A 26,117-nucleotide genomic window follows, 5' to 3' on the forward strand; every position below is an offset into this window, starting at 1 on the left:
AAAAAAAAAAATTCTATCTTTTTATAAAAGCAAAACCCCCAGAAGAGTTAATTTTAAAACAGAACATGCTACATTTTTAAATCCTTTGAGGTTTAATATATTATGAAAGCAAATCTCAGGAAGCAATACAATTAGTCTTTTCTCTCGGTAAACAATTTTGTGTTAGAGTCTAATGCTGAGTTGATTTATGTAAATGTGTTACTTAGCCTCAACTTAAGATATAAATCCAGAGTAAACATAACAATGGCAATCCCGACAGTCTGCTTTGCCAAATCAGAAGATTTAGTCAGCCTAGACTAAAAATGAATTAAGATTATATTGAGAGTGTCAGTCCTAAGTCAAGAAAACATGCCCAGCCAGGGCACGCCAGGGAGAAAGAAGATCACTCATTAACGAGCCAGCAATGCTACAAAGCTTTTGCTCGTCTGGGAAAACATGTTCCCAGTTTTAAACTCCACAGCAAATCAAGGCACTCTTTTTAATAAGTACATTTTCCGTCTCTTTCCCCCTCATCAATCCCAAAAAGAAACTCAGCTTCTCTGTGTATTATCTGTGTAACTCTACATGTCAAACTACAATAGGCCTTGTATCCTTTAAGGTAACATGGGCCAGTGTCTGAGGTGGAGTGGAAGACTCGGGGCTGTGGGGAGTTAATGCCTCCCTTCTCAAAATAACTTTCAAGTTGTCTATTAACAACTAGTTCCCATAATTACATATTAAATTTCTTTACCATGATAGGTTACAGTTATACATCCCAAATAAATCTGACTGTGGAGTACCTGCCGGCAGATTTCTGTCTCTGTTTCCCCAGACACATTGACACACAGCTCAGAGACAAGCTGGTCAGGCACGCTACACAGAGGTCCGTCTGTCCTCGCCTAAAAAGTAAATAAATTATTTTGTGAAAAATATCCTTAGCAAGGATCAGTATTATTGTCAGTGTGACTTTAAAATTCTAAAGGCATGCCAGAAAGAGGGCTACATAAAATTCAGCAGTTTCCAGATCATACACAGTACAGAGATTCTCATACCCACTTAATCTCAGCACGCATCTCCACCCCTACTTCCTTCCCAATGGTATGTGGTCTTGAAAACACAAATGTTCACGTTTCCTGAAGCTGAGCTGCAAAGGAAAAGTCTCCTCCCAAGAGGCAGAGCTGTAGGCTTTTGGTGCCCCCGAAATTGTTCACTACAGTACAACATAATGTGACACTCACCACAATTAGCCACAGGGAAACAGTCTTTTTTTCACCTCTGATGTCATATAATAGATTTGAGATCACATCAGTGAGCAATGTTATCTACAAGTATTTTTGGAAGTCTTGTTAAAAGAGCCACGATACTGCAAGCCTAACTTGAAGTGTAAATGGTGAATGCTTCTCTATATCTCATCTTGACCACTACTTTACTGAAGAGTGAAAAATGACAGATGCAAATTATTTTTCAGAAAGTAGACATTTCCACTGGTAGTTCTTCCTCCTAAGTGATCTTTTCTTCTCTCTCATGCTCTACCCCCTTTCTCTCTCTAGCATTCTTCCTCCCTACACACACACACACACACACACACACACACACACACACACGAAGACATCCATTAATATTAAGAACAGTCTTCCGTAATGTTTTTCAGAATTTCTCAGGGGCTTAGGAGGGCGGCAGCCGTGCCAAAATTACAAGCTTTCCTCTAGTCAGAAGGGATGTCTTTTCAAAGCCCAGCCCTCATTTTTCAGTCTGATGTAAGTAAATTTACCTCTGTGTGCTGGGCTGAGCAGCTTTTCTTTGTCGTTTTTGTTTTTCTAATAGCTGCTGCTCTGGCAGAGCTATTCATTTCAAAGGGAAGTTAGAAGCATTCTTCACTCTTCCCCTTTTAGATTATTTGCAGTTACTGACTCTTCTGAAATCTTAGATTTGAACAGAAACCTAAAGCACAGCACCATTTTAAAACAGCAAATCACCAGCATTCCTGGGATCACATTTCTCTAGAGCAACTATCCAACATGAGGCACAAGAACTAAGTCGAACTGGGCTAAAATTGACAAAATTAAAGACAAAAGAATTATCTCTTTTAAAAATTGGGGCCTACTGTGCTCTGACAGCATGCTAAAGGACAACCATCGTTTGGAAACATTGTTTCAGAACCAGAGAAGAGGTGGTGGAGTTCTGTTTGCCAGTTAGCTAAATTAACTGATTTCTTAAGAAATCCAAGTGAACTGTATAGTAAGGTGGTCAATTTTTGGAAACATTGTTTAGGCAACAGATAAGAGATAGTGAGGTTTTGTTTTGAAGTTAATTTACTTCATGAGAAAGTCAAATCAACAGTCATAGACCATGAAGCTGATAAGATCTATGATAAAATCCAGTGGGCGAACTATCAGTAAGTTCTTAATTTGCCCACGTCCCAGTGTATTCAACGGGCTTCAGTTGGCAATGGCTGGACCTTGCTCTTGTTACTTCTGAAGGGAGTTGTTTTACGTGGACAAGGCCAGGATCATGGTCTCTGAGTGCTCCAAGGGGTTAACCTCTGTGAATTCTACTTCTGTGTCACATATTTAAATGAGTAACTTAGAGTTCAATATCTTTGTGTTCAACTAAAGTCAACTTCTTCTTTATCAGCCAACATTCTCTTACTCTAATCGTTGAACACACTTGAATTCATATCAGTTCTGGGATTTTCGTAACCATCAATCATAAAGTCATAGTAAGAAGAAGAATAAAGCGATATCAGTGCAGTTGAGGCAAACAGGGAAGAAAAAGTGCACGGCGCCATGGTTAGGATATCATGCCAGGCTAGGAAGACTCTCATTAACATCTCCTGAGTCATCCCATTCACAAGCAGTATCCTTGAAGAATGATATCTGTGTATATAAGTGAAAACCCTATCACACCCAGGGGCTTATATCCTTGGCATCTTAATTTCCTAGTTGTGAGTACTTATCTAAAAGGACATGAGTATAATGCTATCCTATATGGCATACTAAGAAACTGATGTAAAACTAAGTCTGCAGGAGAAAAGAGATGCTACATTCCTGTGGCAATTTTCAAATGGCACTAAAAATAGATAAATACGGCAGTAAGAACTAAGTCCCTCCTCCCTCACTTCCCTATCTCTATTTTTCTTTTACATTTGTGTGAATTCAGTAACCATAATCTATCTAATCCTATTATGCCAAAAGACTAAAAGTTGTTGATGTTCAAAACTCTACCAGTATACCAAAAACTCTGAAACTAGGAAGGAAAAAAAAAAAACTTTCTTACCCTTAACCAAAAATGAAGAGTCTCTCAAGCATATATGGATAGCTTGACAAATTACCAATTTATACTGAAATATGAGAAGATGTTCACTAAGAATTACATGACTAGATACTGCAGGGGTTTTTTGTTTTGTCTTGTCAAGCAAAAAAGGTCTAGGTTTGCCATACTCCATTTTTTGGTATGAGGTGGTGAATCAAGCACAAATTTTCTTTGGACTTAAAACATTTAAAATGCAGTGGAAAAACAGTTGGGGAAAAGATACTGTTCTTAATCCCCAGATCTAGACTATCTGTTGGGGTAGTTGCTTCCCAATCCTATTTTCTCAATTGTAAAATGGAAACAATATCTTATCCAATTGAAATAAATATTAAATAAGATACTTTAAACAAAAGATAAAGGTGCTTTACAATTTACAAGTATGAGGTATAACTTAAACAGCTAACTGGAAGACATTAACATAATCTACATAGAATGACCTTCAGAGCAATATGGTTTGCAATTTAAGGAATGAAAGGAAGATAAATTGTAATACAAATGTACCTTTCTCAGAGAAGGCTGAAAGGTACAACGCCAAAGGCATTATCTGCGGACTCAGGCTTCAGATTACCTTTGCCACTTCCTACATGTGAAATACTGGGTAACTTATTGTAAAATTCTGTGAGCTCTAATTTTCTCATCTTTAGATGAGTAATAATAATATCTATCTTGTGAAGGTTCCTGCAATATTTAAATAAAATACTACACATAGAAGTATCTGACTTTAAAAATAATATTCATGCGAGGGAAAGCTGATCACACGAAAGGTTTCTTAGGGACTGTTTGCCTTCCATATCTGTCTTATTAATATAGCTTCATGCAGTCACCTAAATATCTTCAAGTATTGTAAACTGAATTCAGATTATGTGCTTTTTTAAAAAGTACATCTTTTCTATATCAAGCAGAAATCAGGCCACAAAAAAATACTTCTGTAAAAAGCTTAGGAAAGAATAATTTTTCAATTCAGGAAATTTCTTCATGGTGCTACGAAGAACTTTTCTTGTACTGAACTGCTATTTGTGATCCACCTGTTAAAAAAAGCTCAAAACACATTTCAAAAACAAATAGAATGCTTAAACTTTCTTAAAAGACAGAATGTTTTACATGTTGTATTTTGAGGAGATTTTTTTTAAATAACAAGTTTTTACTTACTCATCTTTAAAATAAAAGAGAAAGTAACTGCCCAAGAAACAGCCTTATCTTTTGCTTTCTACAATTCAGAATTTTGAAAGAAATCCTCAAATCCTCCAAACAAGTGTAATACACATGGTTTGCTGGCAGAATTTATTCCAAGCATCTCCAGGCAATATGCATGTGCACCCGCGCACACACGTGCACGCACACACAGACACACACACACACACACACACACATTTTTGAATCATTAAGTCATTTGGAAGAATCTCCAGAAGTGTGCCGAGGCATGTTTTTGGTGTTTTGCCAAATTATGTGCTTCTGTTTGTGGCTTTCAAATATGGATTAGACAGACGCACAAGCATGTACTGTTTGGCAAGTAGCGACAATGGTCTAGTCTGAATTTAGTAATTTAAGCTTTTCATTAGTCCTCGTAGGTGAAAGAAAGAATTAACAACAACTTGTTTGAGCTCTATCTTTATATCCCTTTGTCATCCATTCCTGTTCACTTGCCATAGATTAGAAGCCAAAGGAATTTCAGATGTCCTCTGCAGATAGACCTAAAGTAAGGGCTTCAAACAGGGGGTTCAAATGTCAAGTACATTTAAGCTGGAACTTGAACTTTTACTCATCCTTACTCTAAGGCTATAACTCTGCTTTTCTGAGTTCCCCATTGTACTTGAACATCCAGTGTACCCTCCTTTTTTCTCACAAAAAGTACAGATAGAAATTACCTAAAGAGATAAAAGGTCACTTGAGATTTCTGTTTCTCGTGACTTGAAATTACCATGCACAACAGTAGACTTCTACATGGCAAAGCGCTCACAAAGATGTTTCTGTCTCCTGTGATGATCTCTGGGGGAAGCTATGTCCCTGCCACCCTGCCTCATGCTGTAGTCACTCTAAACTTCAGAGACCAGCATCTTACGACCATGAGTTTTGGTGCTAAGTTCAGAAAAATTAATCCTAAACTGTCACAACCATCCTGATGACCAGTATGTCTTTCTAATTAGAATCAATGCAGTAATCATTATAATTGGCAGTCCCTCCCCAGATCACGTGGAGAACACCATGGGAAGTGCAGTTGACTTGCAGTATTTGATATTTTCTTCTGTTGGTAGGTAAAAGTAATCTGATGTCCAACAGAAAAGTTCACAGGAACCATGAGGTAAAAAGGACCAAATGTTGACAGTGGTCCATTGTTAATTGAGTCGTGCGAAGCTACAGAAAGATTAGTTTATACAGCTGCTGTTATTTGTCATAACATTCCTAACAAGATACACATGTTCAATCAGTCTTATTTTGCACCTCCAAAACTGGGCCATCCAATGGTCTGAAACATGTGGAAATCAAAAGCAACAGTGTACAGAAGGAAGACCATGTATCCCCTCAGGCTGCCTCAATGGCTGAGGAAAGAAAAGAGGCGAGCCCCTGAGTGAGCGGAGCCTAGAATGTTTGGGTTTGGAGGTTAGTGAGTAAAACATGAACAATGAATGTGGGCGGGAAGCTGGGACAGAACCCTGTTAGGGTCATTACTAAGGTATAATGTTATTGACTGTTTTGTGGGGAATTTAGACTTTTAACCCCACCATGATTCAGAAGCAGTGACTTTCTTGGGACAAACTGAAAAACGAACTGGGGGAAAATAATTCCAGTCAGAGCACAAAGCTAACCATGTCACTTGTCCACTGTATTTTCCAGCAGTAGAACTTCACGCTACTTATAAACTACAGGCATACTGAGGGGAAAAAAATGTGTTAACTAACTTTAGGAAACTTTCACTCAAACACCTAAGCTGAAAGTCCACAATAGGTTCAATACAAAAACATTATCAGTACTATCTATAAAACAGGTGTTAAAAATAAGGTGTTTCTTATCCTCAGGAATTTTTCATTTTAGTGAGGTAGGGAGAAAAATATATGCATACACACACAGAGAGAGAGACGGACACAGAGAGAGTGTGCCTACAATTCACAAAGCCCTTTCACACACGTTATCAAAATTTATCCTCAGGAGTGATTGTTAACAATGCCATCATTATACAGACGGCAAAACCGAAGCACAAGTCCCAGTCACTGGTAATGGAACCAAAAATGGAAGCCCCGTCTTCCCATCATATCCCCTACCTTTTCTACGATAATAAGAGGATATTACATCTACTAATCACTATGATGAAAAAAGTACATCATGCCTGGAAACTGAATCCTGTTTTCAACACTGATAACTAGATTCTCCAAGTTGTATCCCCTTCCCACTACTTTCACACAAACATTTTACCTAAGACTTGACCACCTGAGATTGAGACCTTATTAAATCCTCATCAAAAAGGGAAATTAAGGCTAACAGTGATCAGACTGCTCCATAGAGAAGGCAGGTCAAAAGGTACGACTTCAAAGAAAGACCCTCAAGGCAACAGAGATCGATATAATTTACTTCAGACAATAAAACATAAATCTAATTTGAAGGATGTTGCTCATCTACAACTCAAAGCACCTAAGATATTTTCCAGGATGGATATTTATGGGCCACAACATGTACTGCTGCTAGTCTGTATTTGCTCCTTCTGCACACTCCTTTCACACTCTTCATCTCTGGTTCCTTATCTTATTATGAACTGGTTGAAGAGGCCATCTCAGACCTCAATAGAAGGTACACTTACCATAAAGCTCCCAAATGTAAACAATGGTCCTGTAATAATGATGTGAACTCAGAAGGTAAGAATGATGTTTAGATTCCTTTTGCATATTTCTCATCTAAAACAATTTTCCTTCCCTCACATCTTTCGTGCTTTGATTAAAGCACCAAAACACAATGACAACACAACCAGCGGGATTGCTCTGATAGCAGCTGAAGTGCCCATTCCAATCGTATTAACTTGATCCAAGATGGTACTTCAAAATGACACACTTTGGAAATGACAGGTAGAATCCAGGATTTTATTTCCCAGGAAGAGGAATTAATCTGAGTCCTGTATATCTAGTTTAGTACAAAGTCTGCTAAGGAGGTTAGTCCTATCCTGGATCAGCCTCACTAAGCCAGCTTAGGGGCTGATCTAAAATAATAGTTTAACAAAATGCCTGTGTCCAAAGGCTGATTCCACCACTTGCTAGTTGTGTGACCCTGGGCATAATTTTTCTGTTCTTTCGTTCCCTCACATGTACAAAGGAGATACTAATAGATCTTGCCTCATGGGGCTGATGTAAGGAATAGATGAAAATACGCACACACACACACATTCAAGTGTTTAAAAGAGTATCTACATTCACCACCCCCTTCAAGCCTTTACTTAAATGTTGCCTTACCAAGGAGGACCTATCCTAATCATTTTTTAAATACCTCAATCTTCTCTAACCCTACACTCACACTTTACTTATTTTAAAACTAGATTAGAGGCAGTATTTTCTATCAGATTAGTGCTCCTGTGGTCAGTATTCAATTTATAACACACCTTAAAAGAATAAGGCAATTCATTGACTAGTCTTCTCCTGTAACAAGTAGCTCCCAGGGAATTCCACTTCCACAGGAGACAACGTTAGGCAAGGGGGGACTCAGGATGACAGCTCAGTGTGGGTGCATAGGAGGTGTCTGTGGTTCCTTGGAGGATGCACCTATTTTGTAAATAATGAAATTTACTATTTTACGAGTAGTAAAATAGGGAAAAGAATCCTCAGGTATAGAAGGTGGCCAGGGAGACTACAGACCGAACTGATAACTGGTTTCCTTGGAGGAAGACTAGGATTCTTTTATATGTTATATAGTTGTGATCATTTAAAAAATAAGACTTTCTTATAATTTTCTGGAGATTCATTAAACTACAATACTTCATATGCAAAGGCAATTATGGCAATACATAAGTTACATAGCTCTTTGTGCCACAATATGTACGGTGAGCCAAAATGGGATATTATATTTTTCTAGAAAAATCATTTTTACCCTCTCAAATGGTTGTGAGAGCAGCAAAAATAAAAACCTAAAATCTGTATTGTGGTTGCTAACTTGAACCATGCCAATGAACATTCAAAAGATTAATCAAAGGCTTGACAGTTGTTAACAGTTCAACATGGTTCCCATAATTATCCAATTAAACATATAATGCAAATAATAGAAGTCTTATGGGTTCCATAGAGCATGAATATCAGGCTGCTTCAGAAAACTATTAACTGTAATGTACTGTCTGCTGAGTCTGAAGAAAGTGAAAGGAGAACTAGTACATTTATAAAGGAAGGCAAGGAGTAGAAAAATAGAGTGGAGAGACACGTAACTCAAGCACTCTTTATGTGGTCATATAAACACAACAGACAGTGGTAAAATCCAGAAAACAAAATTTAAGTAACAATTATTGTAAAACCAAAAGAATGTAGAGAAATGACTTTACCCTATAATTCCTACTGGCTGCACTATATCCACAGCATACTTCAACCACACTTTTCTAGCTTGCTGCTAAGTTAGAAACATGGATGTAATTACAGTTGTTGGCTTTTGACTCTGTCTATAAACCATGCAGAGATAAACTGCTATTAGTGAACATACCAACTCCATATAGTTGTGTTTTGACATTATAGGTAAAAACAATGAGAAGGAAAACTAACCACAGCAATTATAAACAGCATGCTCCAGGGCATGTCAGGTCACTTATGACCTTGACTAAATGATTATAATCCTTAGGTTGTGTTCTCACACGTTCACATGCACACACACACACGTGCACACCCCACACGTGTTTTTTTTAGGGAAATTAATTCAGTGAACATAAGAATGACTAAATCCCATATTTATAAATGCCCAGAGGAACAAAAAATGGATGCTGCATAGGTCAAATATCTGTACTTTAAAAAATCTTATTATATTTCAAAAAACCAATGTAAACTTTAAAGGAAAAACTTTGTGGTAAGTGTTCATTCTAAAAATATTCTATTCCACAGCTCTGTCTACTCAGGGGGCAAGAAGAATTGCAGAAATTTGATTCAGTACAAAAACTTCTGCTACTATATAAATTGGATTTAAGTTACATTATTTGGAGGGCAATTTTTAAATATTTAAACCATTCCCTTACACTGATAACATTTTTTCAGTAACCATTCAACTATTTACCTCATTTTATTTGCTACAGACAGAAATGCTGCATTCATTTCTTTTTGTAAAAGTCAGTCTTCTCCTCCCCTACTAAAGTGGTAACAAGCAATATCAAGAGGGCAATAAATATCCCATAAATATTATTAAAGCATGATGTTCTCAGATAAAAAATCGTATTGTGTTTAATGACTTTTCTTCTAATATACAAAATTATTTGTACAATCAGTAACAGTAGAGATGTGAAAATTAAAATAATGTTATATTACACATGGTGGACCACTTTGCAAAAGTCCAAATTACAAGTGATGTGACTTTCTAATGTGATTACTCACAGAAATGGCAGTTGATAAACATAGTCTTTAGAGTGTGCTAAGGTCATTAAAACAGTCTCATCTATTTGCGTATTTCTTCAAAGTGTACTTTTTTAATGTGCCTTTCTTATTTGGTCTTCTTAACAATCTGATCAGGAAGGCAAGAGTAGTTGTCCTTTTTACAGATCAGGAAACAGGTTCCTGAAGGAGGGCGACTTTCCCAAAGCTACCAGACTAATGAGTTTCTGAATTAGGCCGCACAGCCAGGTGAGCTCCTCATGCAGGGCTTCAGACCTGAACACCTGGGTTCAAATACTTGTTCCTCCTTTTAACCACTGTTGTATGAACTTCGGTCATGACTGGCTCTCTCTTTGTCTGAGAACTTTACTTTCCATGATTATAATAGCTTCCACATAAGTTAGTTGTGAGAATTAAATAAAACATGCTATGTGATGCCCTTAACACAGTCCCAGGCACATAGTAAGTGCTTAATAAATATTAGATGTTGCGGCTGTTGTTACTGTTACTATCATCTTAGAACTACTCTGGCTAAGTTTGGCAAGGTTAAAGGATTAAATAAATAACCACATAAATATCAAATCCAGAGATTAACATTTAGCAAACATTTTAGTGCACATTTTTAAAGAGATTAACATTTAGCACACATTTTAAAAGAAAACGAACTGACATAACTGGGTATCACTGTGACTCCGGACTAGGGGCTCTTGGGGAATGACTCGCATCAGCCATTCTTAAAGGTTTTCTAGCAAAACGCTTGTGTATTTGTATCATTGCACCACTCACTGGACACAGGTTGAAGGAATTTAGATTGAGAAAAACTATGCAAATCAAAACTGTGGTAAAATGCAAGCATACTAGTGTCTGTATCCACTTTATCTTGGGGATCAAAGTTCCTCTGTTTTAACTGCCACATTCCATCCTGGACCTAATAGTTTCTGTGTAACTAACTGGCAAGTCTAGCATCTTGACTGAAAGTTCACAGTTAAGGGCTCTGACATAATGTCCTTGAGGACAATGGACTCCTCTTTCAGGGCAAGAGCAGTCCTGATCATGCTCAGGGCTGCATGAACTCAAGTTGATTTGGCCTGAGCCATCACTGCTCTTTTTAAAGGAAATGAAATCAGAAGAGAAAAATATCCATATTCACGTTAGGGAGCAAATATATAAAGTCAGTATGTTTAAATGTTGTGCGTTGGCATCCAGGAACACTCAAGAAAGCTCTGTTGCTTGTAGCTCACTGAGGGACAGAGGAACAGTGTCTGTAGGACAAACAGATGCACATCTAAGCAAGTAGAAAGAAGAAACATTTACAGTAGACAGGAAAAGACAAACCATACAATTATTTCTTTGTCTAGGTAGGTAGGTAGGACTACACTGAGATCTCATGAGAGTTCTCTAACTCTGCTTCATACACACATTATTATAAAATGTAGCTTATAACCCTTGGAGATGCAGAGAAGACCCTTTTTTAAAAAATAGTTTTACTGGAGAAGTAGTGGGAGTGAAGCTGGGAATATGAGCTGGGAAGGGGCAGTCATGGGTTGAATTCTGACTCTGCCTCTTACTAGCTTTCGGATTGGAGAGTTATTCAAGATATTTAACCTCAATTTCTTTATCTATTATTTGATGAGAATACCTAGTTCCCTGGGTAACTGTAATCATTATAATAAATAATTAATGGGGGGAATGGGACATTTTGTTGTTTTTACTATTACTAATATTGCTACCAATTAATACTAACATAATTATAAAACAGTAATAATAAGGAGGATTGCTGTCTTTCAGAAGAGAAAGGGAAGTCATTTCTGGATCTTTCCATACATCTTCTTTCTCACTAAGATTCATAGCCTTATCTAAGAAGAAAATCAATCTTTGAAACCAAAAAAATGAATGTAATGTATAGGAATAAGGGGTGGCGGAATTTTTGTCCTGCAAACTTATGATGATTTACAAACCTCATAAACTCTTATCTAAATAATCCACAAAGTGAGCACTCAAAATTCAAAAGTTTTTGAATTAAAAATGGACTCTGTTTAGAAAGATGCAACCAAAAAACTTATGGAAACTAAAATATACGTTCTTTGTTCATCTATTTCCTTCAGAAAACTTTCATAACAGAAAGAGCCCAGAGTCCATTTACTCAAGTGTACATAGATATTTTATTTGAAAAATATCCCAACTTTTCAAATCAATAAGAAAAACAGAAGAAAAATTTATTCTAAGACTTCTAAGGAAAACCATTAATCTAGCATAGGGTGAGTGGGATAGGGAAGATCTTTATCATAAGTCAACAATGAAGACCATGATACCTATTCTTGAACAGTTGGATTCCTAAGTATGGCTCTTGACTTGCTTAATCCTCTCTTTAAGGACATTTTATTTGCCCTATGTAGCCTTTGTGGACTGCACAATAAACACATCCAATTTCAAGGTCTCCTACATAAGCAGCATAGAGCAAGAGAAAACAAAAAATGAGAAAGACTGCTTAGTTTAAAAGATTTGCTTGGAAATCACTAAGATTTTGTATATCAAAATTAATAAAACTGAAAGCAGTAACTCATAAATTAAAGATAAAACAAATGATTCTTTCCAATTTTCTTTTCTTGAGACAGAGTCTTGCACTGACACCCAGGCTGGAGCACAAGGGTGCAATCTCAGCTCACTGCAACCTCCACCTCCCAGGTTCAAGCGATTCTCCTGCCTCAGCCTCCTGAGTAGCTGGGATTATAGGTGCACACCACCACACCTGGCTAATTTTTGTATTTTTAGTAGAGACAGGGTTTCACCATGTCGGCCAGGCTGGTCCCGAACTCCTGACCTCAGGTAATCCCCCACCTCGGCCTCCCAAAGTGCTGGGATTACAGGCGTGAGCCATCGCGCCCAGTCCTATTTCAATTCTTTTTAGTGTGTCAATAAGTGAAATGAGTTTTTTTTAATATGTAGAGGTTATTTCAGACTATATAATATTTTCTTTTGTCTCTTTTACCCTACTGGGGCCAGAGGAAGTTCATTATCTAGAATTACAGTTAAGAAAGAAGTCCAGCGATAACTGCATGGATCAAAATTCTGACTCTGTCACTTAACTAGCTTGCCCTCAGAGTTCTCATTTGTGAAAGGGCAGTAAAGTATCTACCTCATATGGTTACCAGGGAATAAAGGAGTCAAACAGGTGACTTTGCAAACAATACCTGGCGCATAGTAAATGCTCACTAAATGTTAGCTAAATGGCAATGGTCACATGTGGAAAAGCACCACAGCTAGAAAATCCTACCCACCTTAAGTGGGTATCACTTAAGCATCAGGTCACTATGTAAAGCCTTAACTTGTAAGATTGGTATTATCTCCATTTTACACAAGAAGAAATGGAGCCTCTGGGACTTCAAAACACTTGCTGAAAGTTATACAGTTAAAAAATGGCAAAAACAAGATTTTAGATAGTACTCCTGATTTCCAACTTTTTGACTATTTCCAGGGCTCCTTCTAGCAAGTTCCAACGCCATGCACACCTAGTCACCGCCCCTTGATGATGGGACACCACCAGACTGACATGTTCACTGCAAAACCTGCAACAAGTCTGCTGACATCTGAGGAATTGGAGAAATTATTGGGTGTACCCCAATGCCACATTCTATTATTCTTTAATTTGTTCCATTAAGTGCAATCATCTTCAGGAAGCCTAACACATACTCACTATTCCTCCAAGTTTCATTACAGTTCTTGCTTACTCACTTTTGAATGGGAGGGTGCTAGGGCCACTCAGAACCCAATGCAATTGCTCCAGTTAGGAGCAGCGCAGAGTCCAGAAATACATCCTGACACATTTCCAACCTCCTGCAAAAAAAGCTACATGCTACAAGATGTCATAACAAGCATGCTTGTATGCTTGTTATGTATAACTACCATGTACACACTACAAAAATATTTTTTGTCATACAGAGAAAATTATACTTGTTCATCACAATAATCCATTCTCATGATCTCACTATTTTCTCAGAAGTTGTCACAAGTTTTCATGTCATTTCTTTCAGATGATGTTTGTATAATCACTACCATTACTCTTTTTATAACTTATTAAGCACTTAATGGGAACACTTAAGAAAAAAGAACAACAAAAATTGGGTAATTCTTCTTAAACTGTCTCTCACTACTATAAAATCTGTAAAATGTCTGTCTTCTCTATATTGCAATTTTAGGACCTGGCAGAGTGCCTGATACATAGTAGGTGCTCAGTGAATAGTTGTTGAATGAATAAGCCGCTTCACTGCAGACAGAATGGCTTTTAAATGCCATCATAAAGGGGCAAACTGAGAAAGATTTCTTTTTAAATGTCAGTGTTCATAATCTCCCTACATGTGCACAACATAATCAACACTGAACTAAAGAATCAACAAAACCCACTGTATATCACCTTATAAGAGAACAAGGGGAAGAGAAGTATGAAAATAAGAAAACCTGATCACTGTCATCTAAGAACTTTCATTCACTTTTTATTTGCCTGAGGAGATGGGGAAGTACAGAGGAACTGAGAATTTCACAAACTAGGTTCAAATCTATCTTTGGGTATATGATTTGTAACCTTAAAAGATTGAAAGCTACTTTAAAAGAGCTATTATAGGCCGGGCGCGGTGGCTCACACCTGTAATCCCAGCACTCTGGGAGGCCGAGGCGGGCGGATCACGAGGTCAGGAGATCGAGACCATCCTGGCTAACACGGTGAAACCCCGTCTCTACTAAAAATACAAAAAATTAGCTGGGCGTGGTGGCGGGCACCTGTAGTCCCAGCTACTAGGGAGGCTGAGGCAGGAGAATGGTGTGAACCCGGGAGGCGGCTTGCAGTGAGCTGAGATCACGCCACTGCACTCCAGCCTGGGTGACAGACCGAGACTCCGTCAAAAAAAAAAAATTGAGACGGAGTTCTGCTCTCGTTGCTCAGGCCGCAGCGCAATGGCGCGATCTCGGCTCACTGCAACCTCTGCCTCCCGGGTTCAAACGATCTTCTGCCTCAGCTTCCCGAGTAGCTGGGATTACAGGTGCGCACCACCAGGCCCGGCTAATTTTTTGTATTTTTTAGTAGAGACGGGGTTTCACCATGGCCAGGCTGGTCTTGAACTACTGACCTCGTGATCCGCCTGCCTCAGCCTCCCACAGTGCTGGGATTACAGGCATGAGCCACTGCGCCCGGCCCACAGTTTTCATTTTACACTTTTTTCTGCAATTACCTATGAGGAAACACCTATATTCTGGAAGAGGCATCATTTACAGAGAACAAAATATTTAAAGCTGGGTGTTATTTTATTGTTGGGTGTGTCACTAGATCAGCCCATTGCTTTTAGCAGCAAAAAAGTATAAATTTGCATCAGGTCAGATATTTTAGTCTGACAATAAAACATACCTCATCAAACAAAAACCATTTTTTCTTCTGCTGAGTTCAACAGCCACGCTTGATTTTTAAAATAATAATGATAGTCATGTAAACTGGATGCAAAACTCAACTCAGCTAACTTAAGAATATTTTTAAATACAGTATATTTGCAGAATATTTTGCTTTCTAGATTTTTTAATTGCCTATAGAATTATCTTCTCAATTCCAAAATATCTTAAAACAAATTATTGACACATGACAAATATATATTGACAATTTTGATTCAAGATTATATAACATAAACAATTGAAATACCAGAATTAGTTTTAAAAGATACTTTACGAAACATTTTAAGACAATGTGTATAGGACATACACTGAAATCTAAGAGCTAAACTATATTTAAGAATAATTTAGATATCAGAGTTCAATGTTACGATTCAATAATAAAAAAGAGATTAATCAATCAAAGCCATTTAGTATTAAATATTTTGGCATCTGTGTTAAAATTCCTATTAGATTCTTTTATTAACTTTTTTTTAACAGAACACCAAATTTGTCACCAAAACAAACATTCCCAAAACAGTATATATCAATGCCAAATGCAGTTAATTTATGTGAAAAGTAGACTCTTGGTTATCTGTTTCATTTTGTTTTGGTTTTGTTACATAACCCCTGAGAAAACTCTGCTTAACACTCACCTCCTCTCCGTGACCTTTCCATTGCAGTCACACAGGGTTCCCTCCCAGAAAGCTCCGCAAATCTAACTATATATAGTAGTTGGTGAGAGGGTTAGTTAGTTGTATACTTGTCCCACTATCTTTGGTATTTTTGTTTTTCATAAACACTGCAAGTGACCATGACCCTCTCATTTCTACTTGTAAATTACTCGGACAAGGCCATCAGTATTTCACCGTTTTTTCCTAGCTCCTTAAAATATTGAAAACAGTGCTCAGTACAGTGCTTCCACTCCATAAATGCATTTCTCATTTTTTCACCTTTAGTTCAAATGTTCTATATTTTCCTTGAAGGATATATTTTCATAAATCCACAAATGCCTACTTCTTTGACTATATGATGATACATACGGAATCATATTAAACACATACCAAAATAAAAGGATTTAATATACCACATATATATTATATCTTGTCCTTTTTTATTAGTCATTAGATTTTCCAAAGCGTGTGTGTGTGTGTGTGTGTGTGTATGTGTGTGTGTATATGTATATATATATATATATACATATATATATATTTGGTATGCCAAATATATAATATTTACCAAAATATATAATATATACCAAATATATAATTTGGTATACCAAATACACATATATATATGCATACACATACACACACACACATATACATGTACATACATTAATATATATAATCAACACTGAACTAAAGAATCAACAAGCCCACTGTATATTGCCTTATAGAGAACAAGGGGAAAAGAAGTATGAAAATAACACCTGATCACTGTCATCTAAGAACTTATGTTCACTTTTTATTTGGCTGAGGGGATGGGGCAGTATAGACGAACTAAGAATTTCACAAACTAGGTTCAATATATATTTGGTATACCAATATTTGGTAGTTGGTGAGAAGGTTATATTTTCCTATATATTTGGTATACCATATAGATATAGATAGATAGATATACACACACACACATATAAATACACATATATATGCACATACATATACATACATACATACACACACATATAAATACATATGCACACTTTGAAAAAATCTAAAGACTAATAAAAAATGACAAGATAAGGATTATTATCCAGGGACTTAATTATATTACCAGTGAAATGATTTTTTAAATGATGTGTCATTTTTAATGAATAAGAGAAAACAGTCAAAATTATTCTTCAGAGAATAATCTTACTCATAATATTGAGATATTTCTTCCAACCTTATTTGTGGGACTAAAAGTCAGTGCTATTGGAAACATAAAGGAAAAAAATAAACACATCACCATTCCAGACCATGAAAATGTTTGGGATTTTAAAGTCTTAGTTCCTTGCATAAATAAATACCATCACCTTGAACACTCCCCGCTAGGCAACAGTTACGAGTATGTTCACTTTTATCTCCCATTATGTTTGTGCCTGGGATTGTCTTATACCCAAATGAAAGACCTCATGAAAAATGGATAGTAGTAAAGTATACTGGATTGTACCAGGAAATTTATACAAGAATCTATCATGTCTTTGTACTCTAGGGAAGGTTATTTCCTTAAGTAACTCACAAATATTGAAACAGGCATTGTGATTAGCTGTGGCTCTATACCATTCACATTAGGAGTGGATTTTGAGACATTACATAGCAATTACAGTATTTAAATTTTTGCCATATACCTAGGAAACTGGAAAATTTGCCAAATTTAATATTTTTCTCCGCACTTTAGGCATAGCATTGCCCTTAACTTAAAGCTCTGCCCACAAAAGGGAGACCAAGTCTTCTGGAAAGCTCAGAGAAAGTATTGCACGTCTACAATACGGCAGGTGCGGCGGTAAGCACTTCACAAGTATTTTCTCAGTTTACCCTCACAATTGCCAAATAAAGTGCATGCCTACTCCAGAGCTCAGGAAACTGAATCTTAGAAAATAAAACTAATTTACCCAACTACATAGTGAATAGTATAAAACAAACATTAAAACTCACAGCAAGATTCCAGAATACGTGCTATTGCTAATACAGACCCTGTAATTCACATGGTTTTATTTTACTCATTCTTAACATTAAAAATATACACATAAAGTGGAAATGTATTTCTAAAACAGTGACCAATCACTAGTGCATATACAAAAGAAAGAAAACAAGCCTCAGTAAAAAGGAGATTTTCCTAGTTTGAGGAACTTTCTTGTGTTACCTCAGTAACAGTAATCTGATTTGCCCCTAATGTTCTATATTCAGTATAAATAACTTGCATGCATTCATCCATTCATTCAACAAATACATATTATCTATTTTATAGTATGCTCTCATAACATTTCTATTGATTGTGGTTTCCTGTACTTGCATTGTACCCATCTTTTGTTCACCTATTTTTCCATCAACAATTGTGCCTGAAAAACATGCTTTCAAACTTTCACCATATACTGTCAAACTAGAAATTAGCTACTAGAAGTAGCTGATATTAAACTTTTTCTAATACTCTAATATCTCTGTTTCAATGTGTTAATCTTTGCCTTATTCCAGAGTCTCTTGATATACATAAGCACACACAGGGCATTTCTAAAACATAAATTATAGACAACTCTTTCATTTTATAAAAGAATTCTTGGCCAGGCAAGGTGGCTCACGCCTGTAATCCCAGCACTTTTGGGAGGCTGAGGTGGGTGGATCACTCGAGGTCAGGTGTTCACAACCAGCCTGGCCAACACGATGAAATCCAGTCTCTACTAAAAATACAAAAATTAGCCAGGTGTGGTGGTATGCACCTGTAATCCCAGCTACTTGGGAGGCTGATTCAGGAGAATTGTTTGAACCTGGGAGGTGGAGGTTGCAGTGAGCCAAGATCACGCCACTGCACTCCAGTCTGGGCGACAGAGACTCTGTAAAAGAATTTCTACCTTAACAAAAAGATTCATTGAAAGTTGCTTTTTGAAATTAAATTCCCCTTGTAAATTTCATATGTTTTATTTACTAAATATTAAACTAATAAAAAAATTCTCAGAAACATCTCTTAAATAAAAGAGATATGGATGTTTGTTTTAAACTTAAAAAAAAATTCTTTAACTGAGATGATACATGCCACACAAAGGAAAAGGGAGATGTAGTAATTATCAAGCTAATCGGAAAATTACAAACACCCAAAAGCAGAACTTCTAACAGCTCCTCATAACTAGCTCTGACCTTTTCTTTAAAAATCTGACTTTCAGTTAAAAAAAAAAAAAGTTTTCTTATAACAAATCTCAATCATCTTTTCTTATGTTATTGGAAAATTGGCCATATATTTTTAATGGGTCCTTTCTGTTTTTCAACCAGCATCAAATTTTGGTATTAGTTGAGTGCAATTTAGTGTATCTTCCATCCACACACAAAAAAAGAGAAAGACCATGGCTGCAGATTGATTTCGTTAGAATACTTCCTATGAAAATGTATAAAAGAAAAAACCTAGTCTCTTGAATTAATTTATCTTAATTACAAATGATAATACAAGATGTTTAATCATTATTTTTCTTCTATTTTCCTTTAAAAATTGCTGCCATGTTTTCACGAAATAATAACCTTTCATTATTTTTTGATAATTTACGTTTATTTTTCCTCCTACAGCAGTAAAAGTAACGCATCCAAAGAAGCACTGGGCCTCTCTTAGACTCAGTATCCCAAACTGTAAAGTGAGAAGATCTGTAGGGATTTTCCCGGCTCTAAAATTCTACAAGTTAAAGACCTCTTTCTTAAAAAGTAAGCTTTTATCTACATTGAACCAAATGAGTTAACTATTGGACTTTGAAATGAGCAACATGAAAGTGTTACTCAAGAGTCAGGTTACACATTTTCTATTTCTCTTTAATAAATAAAATGTATTAAAACCCTAAATTTAACAAGCATGTGCTAAACTTTATTAAGTATTGCTTACTATGAAGAGGACTGCTCTCTGCCAAGATAACCAGAAACCAAATTCCTAGGATGCTAGAGCTAACAGGGATAGTGGATGTCCTCTAGGCCAATTCTCTTCCCTGACAGATACAGAAACTGAGTTACTGAGAGGGACAAAGTTTCCCAAGCACCTGCAAACAGTAGGACCAGCAATGTTTTTCTCTTCCACTTCAGCAAGCTGCTTCAATCACTATATGGCGTAGAGTGAATCTCTACATCAGTAAACAAAGGAATGGAAGAAGGTAATTCCATTATCAGGTCACTAAATAATTTAGAGTCTAATTTTTCTTTTTTTAATGTAAAGACCTTATGTTCAGAAACTTACATTTCAAAGTACATTAAGTAAAATTATGTCCATACGCAGATATGTCTTCTCCTATATGCATCTTAATAAACAAAAAAAATTATCGTCATCCCCTACAAAACAAAAACTGAAATTAAAAGAAAGAATAGAGTAAATCTAAATTGTATATTTTCATTCCTTCTAAAAGGATTAAATAACAGAATTCTAAATGGTTTGTTTGTACTTTCCATGCAATATGTAGATTAACCATGAAATTCTGTTTGGGACACTTTGACATCTGTTTTCAGTGCGTTACAATGAAATCTGGGGACTTGATACATACATTTGCTGTAATAAAACTGTCACTAATCAGTGTTTTCCAAAATATTGCCCATAACTATTACTATTCAGTAGTCTCATTTGCATGATCTAATATTGTTGCTACATCATGTTTTTCCCTGACAATGTGTTAGCTAGTCCCAGGCACATGGTCGAAAATGGCTGCAAACCACTCAATAATCCCAGCATTTCCATAGTACTCTGTATATATGCACGCAATCTGTCCTAGAATTGAACCAACACTTCATCCTTCATGAAATATTTTCTCTGTAACTGGAACACCCAAGGTTGAATTCACATCCCTGAGTATGAAAAACTCAACAATAATAAAGAAGCCCATGGTGAGGAGGAAATTACGCCTCATGGGCCTTCCACAACAGGAGACGCAAACATAATCCTTACTCAGAAGTCCCTTCAACAAAGCTGTAATGATGATGCTTTCTGAACATAAGTGCGGAGTCTATCATTAACTTAGACCATTTCTATGAACTAAAGAATAAGACTGGACTAGACTTTAAAACGGAGTCTACTTCCCTTTCTCTAGGATTAGTAGACAGCCTTATCAATGCCAGATACCAAGAGCCACAAGTTCACAAGATATTAACACAAACTCCTGGATATTAGATTGAAAAACTGTTTCCGTTTCATATTGCATATATCTGGTATGTCATGTACAAAATATGGATCTCAGGGGAAAAGTAAGTCTGACAGCCCAAACATGGTATTCACCAAAAAACAAAACCTTACTAAAAACAGTCTGTCTACCTATGTTGATTCTAAATGAATTCCGTATTTTATCAGTACTTGGCATTATATTCATATTGCTCAACAGTCCAAAATAATTTCATCTTGTCCTCCCATGAACTCATCTTAAACCCAAAATATGTTTCTCCATGCACATGTTTTATATTATACGAATGTTGGACACGAAAAGCAGATTAATTGTAGGCCCTAATGCTGTGTTTGTTAGTACTAAGAAGTCATTCCAAATGTTCCAAAAGGGATTAATGTAGTATAACAAGTCTATTTAATTACTGTAAGACCAGTGATCCTCATATTACTATAAGCAGCTTTTCCCTTATTTGGAGACTGTAAATAGAACAGAAATTGTTACATGATAACTATAAGTCATATCCTAAAATGTTGATGCTTTACCATCAGGAATAAAGAAATATGCAAGCATCTCTGAGAGGCTATGAAAGGCAACTAGAATTTAACAACCATGTATACGCTCCCACTTTAAGTGAACATCAACTTTAAATCATAAGTGTAAGCAAAGCTTTTCAAATACATTAGAAAGACATCATATCAAATCTTTCTGCCATCAACAGCAATCCCAGTTTACATATGTTTAAAAACTGTGGCTGCACTTTGTTTCATGTATATGATTTTCGAGTTTTGTGTATCCCATGAACAGAACTGCTACTAAACACCAGTGTGTTATCAAAAAGAAAAGGAATGCCACAGATTATTAAAAATTATGTGCCAGAATCCAAACAAGCTAATCAATGTACTGATCCTGCTTTCCGTACACCCTAGTTACCCTTTAACTAATGGACAAACAGTGAAATAACTTTTCCTATTAACTCCTGGCTAGAACCCCTAGGTACGTGATACACTTATTATAAAGTGCTCCATATAAGAATATGATGCCTTTTTACCCTACGTCAATGTGACACGTGATTTAAATTTTCCTAGTAGGGATTGTGGATATGAGCTAATCTCTCCACTTTCCAAACCTCCTGTGCAAAGTGAGGGGTGCAGTTCAGTGGCCGTAGGGAAACAAGCACCGAAACTAGTTCCTCCAAGGACCTCCATGGACACAACCAACCAGAGCTACTGAAGTCAAACACGGTGATCCCAAATCACAGTTTCGTAAGAAGTAAATGTTGTAACCATTCTCCACTTGGCTTCCAGTTGTTCTTAGCAAAAGTGAAGTCAATTTCAGTAATAAATGTTAACTTATTTCCTACGGAGCTCATTTAATTATTTAATTTTCTTAACACGATAGAAAAGGAGGAATGGGAAAGAGTGACTTAAAGGAGAAAAATTAAATGGCAATAAAATCAAAACAATTCATGCAACTGATTAAACGGTTTGAGGTTTTGACTCAACTAAGGGTCATTTTTAAATATGATACTTTCGGACTTTAAAAAGAGTCTGAAAACCAGCAGCATGCTTTTTTAAGGACAATCCAGTTGGCCGGGCGCGGTGGCTCATGCCTGTAATCCCAGCACTTTGGGAGGCCCAAGGCGGGCAGATCACGAGGTCAGGAGATGGAGATCATCCTGGCTAACACTGTGAAACCCCGTCTCTACTAAACATACAAAAAAAAAACTCAGCCGGGCGTGGGGAAGGGCGCCTGTAGTCCCAGCTACTCGGCAAGCTGAGGCAGGAGAATGGCGTGAACCCGGGAGGCGGAGCTTACAGTGAGCCGAGATTGCGCCACTGCACTCCAGCCTGGGCTACCCAGCCAGACTCCTTCTCAAAAAACAAACAAACAAACAAACAAACAAACAAAGCACTATCCCATCTAGCCACATCATCATCACTTCTGCCGAAACAAATCTAAAACGTAAGTGTAGTTCTCCCAAATGGTGGCAATTTAATTTTTTTGTACATGACAGTTTTACACTTTTATTGGAGTGCAGTGAATTACGAGTACTTGATAGGACACCCTTTACCCACACCAAAATTGAGTTATTTATTCAGAGAGCCACTAATAAAATTATTTGATTCCTTCCCTTCAAATATACCTAGATTGATCAATAAATTTAGTCTCTGGTAAATCTGAGACAAAAAGGCTTCTAAAACCATACAATCATTCTAATTTAAATGGGTTTTAAAACTACACACAACTAGCTAACTTCATGTGCCTACACAAAGAGTTTTCACTAACAAATATTCACGCGCACTACAGTGAGCAGGACTTCGATTTCCTCTTTGGTATGTCTTGTTACCTGAGATAAATATGAACTAAATGATGACCCTCTGCTTCATATCCAGTCATTCCTTTTTTTCACTACTGGATAGTCTCCCTGGCAGTCTACATTATGCTATTTTCCTTCATATATAGTAGTAATTGCTATTATTAACATTATTGCTTTTACTTACATGAATTATTTCATTTAATCCTAAAGCAACACAGTGAAGTAGGCATTTTAATCCTCGATTTACAGAACAGAAAAGCAAAGCACATGGAGCTGAAGTGACTTGACCAAGGTCACAAAGCAGATAAATGGCAGAGCCAAGACTAGAACCCCAAATGTCAAATTCTATGCACATGATTTTTGTTACAAAATGAATGTTTGGGTCTTCCCCAAATTCCTACGTTGAAATCCTAACCCCCAATCTGATGGTATTAGGAGGTGGGGCCTTTGGGAGATAATTAGGTCATGAGATTGGAGCTTTCATAAACAGGATTAGTGCCCTTATAAAAGAGATCCCAGAGAGCTCTCACTCTTTTGCTGCATGTACGGAAACAAGGAGAAGTTGGCACTCTGCCACCCGGAAGAGAGCCCTCGCTGGAACTTGACTATGCTGGCACTCTGCTCCTGGGCTTCCAGCCTCCAGAACTGGGAGAAATAAGCTTTAGTGTCTGTAAGTCACACAGTTTATGTTATTTTGTTATAGTAGCCTGAACTAAGACATTTTCTGTGCTCTACAAAAATGGAAAAGGCAGAAGGGGGATATGCTGAACGTCTTAAGCAATTCAAAATTCAAAGGATGACAGAATACTTTAATTTGCACATTATTTACTCTTCAGTCTAAGAATAAGCCATCTTTCTTAAGTAATTCCTGCAAGATCTAAGCCCCGCCTTTCTCTTTTTCTTCTAACTTCACTTCTTCAACTCCCTACAACACGTGTGTGCATGCGCACACCCCCTGCTCCCTGCCCACACACACACCCAAGTTGGATAACACACAAGTTGGACTAGAAACTTTAACTCAACAGGTGAGATCACCTTAAAATTCTTTCGATGTAGGAACTGAGGTAGACGTCTGGAGAAAACTAAAGAGATTTTTAAATCCTCTGGGCTGGCTGCTGTTCTCATATCACAGTCTCACTGTCATCTGACCCCTTAGCCCACCAACCACATCTAAAGCCAACTCCACATTGGCGCTGCCCCTGAGGATGCTAATGAACCGGCAGAAAGGCAAAAGAGATATTTTCTATTCTAGACTAGTTTTTACAGGAGAAGAGAGAAAAACTGAGGCCATGGACTAAAATGAGATTCAGAGCACTTCATTCAACCTTCCTCCTTTGACCCCTATGATTCTGGATTATCAACATGATTCATTCTGAAAAGCATTTAAATTCCTTGATCTTGTGAACATTCCTGGGGGAAAAACAGTTTAAAACACAACAGTAACAAACAAACAAACAAACCAGAAAGAAAAGAAAGCCTCTCACCTGCTATTTTCAGATATTTTCTAGATGGGAATGCAGAAATCTACTGCTTTTTTCCCAGGTTCTAGCGCCTGTAGCACATTGTCTCTCATCTGTCAGTGTATCTACACACATGTATAAACAGTACGCAACACGCAAGTAAGGAAATGTACATTTTAACTTAAACTTCCTTTTTTCCTCTAATAATTTAAAAATAAAATGTAACAGCTTGGATTTTAAATATTTAATCTGGCAAATATAGGAAAATCATGAACTATAATGTCATATTTGGCAAAGAAGAGTTTGGTAGGATAAAAATATCTGTGTTTTAACATTTTAGAAGGCTTTTCCAGTATTTTAAAAATAAAATTATTTCACTGCTTCAGAAGAGAAGAACGGAGGTAAAATTCGCTATTTTTGCACATGAGGTTTTCATGAAGAGTAGAAAAAAAACAATTTTTATATTCATTAAAATAAATAGTTATTTTTACATGCTGGCAAAAGTCCCCACAGAAATAAAATCTTCATATTTACTAATGGTTCTCTACTATGTCATGAAATTTAGCTATTTAAGTCACAAAAGATAGGATTCCCTTAAAACTATAACATAAGATGGTATATATAAAGTTACAACATTAACTCATTTGTAAAGAAAAAAATGTTGGTTTTACCCTACATGTTTAGTATACAGATTTTTTCAGTACTAGTCAAAGATTTATAGTGTTAAGTTCAAAAGTCAGTTGTTTTCACATCGGTAACCAACAGCATAACTAAATTTCCCACTTTTACCTCATATTATGACAATAAAATATTTTTATCGTAGCAGCTGAAAATGCTGAAAAGTAATTATTAAAGAAACCATAAATATAAAAAGCTGAAAAGTCAACCTCAGACGAGTGTGGAAAAGGAAATTGTGATATGTACCATCATAAAACAGAGAAACTGAAAATCTAAGCAGAAAAGATCTAAATCCCTCCAAATGCCAGAATACTATGCCCCACCTCTTGTAGCAAGGAGGGCTGCAAATTTGTCCCCATCACTGTCAGCAAACAAAAGAAAGTCACTTCTACAGCCAGACCATGTCAAACAGAAGACGTAGCTACTGCAGACGGACGCCTTGAATCCACTGGTGTGTAAAGGGCGGGCTTGGGCCTTTTTGTCAGCTATTACCATTAAAGAATAAGAGGAAACAGTGACATTATTACACAATAGAAAGGTCAAACAGCTTGCAGCCATTCCATGACCCAAACAAGTCAAGGTCAAGGGATTCAGGTAGCAACTTAGCCAGGGCG

The 26,117-nt window shown here is 36.8% G+C and overlaps 1 protein-coding gene across 30 annotated transcripts in view, besides 2 other annotated features; it reads right to left on the reverse strand.

Annotated features, from left to right (window-relative positions):
- Positions 1 to 26,117, reverse strand: part of NFIB (nuclear factor I B) — a 450,235-nt gene that overhangs the window by 190,866 nt on the left and 233,252 nt on the right. The gene's annotated exons all lie outside the window — the stretch shown is intronic.
- Positions 1,110 to 1,710: an enhancer, noted in NCBI's record as "OCT4-NANOG-H3K27ac hESC enhancer chr9:14273817-14274417 (GRCh37/hg19 assembly coordinates)". NCBI's record gives its function as "activates a minimal SCP1, AML or CMV promoter by ChIP-STARR-seq in primed H9 embryonic stem cells {active_cell/tissue: H9 hESC(primed)}" and the evidence as "EXISTENCE:reporter gene assay evidence [ECO:0000049][PMID:30033119]".
- Positions 1,711 to 2,310: an enhancer, noted in NCBI's record as "OCT4-NANOG-H3K27ac hESC enhancer chr9:14274418-14275017 (GRCh37/hg19 assembly coordinates)". NCBI's record gives its function as "activates a minimal SCP1, AML or CMV promoter by ChIP-STARR-seq in primed H9 embryonic stem cells {active_cell/tissue: H9 hESC(primed)}" and the evidence as "EXISTENCE:reporter gene assay evidence [ECO:0000049][PMID:30033119]".

Source organism: Homo sapiens, chromosome 9, assembly GCF_000001405.40.
Source record: "Homo sapiens chromosome 9, GRCh38.p14 Primary Assembly".
In the NCBI taxonomy this organism is placed as follows: domain Eukaryota; kingdom Metazoa; phylum Chordata; class Mammalia; order Primates; family Hominidae; genus Homo; species Homo sapiens.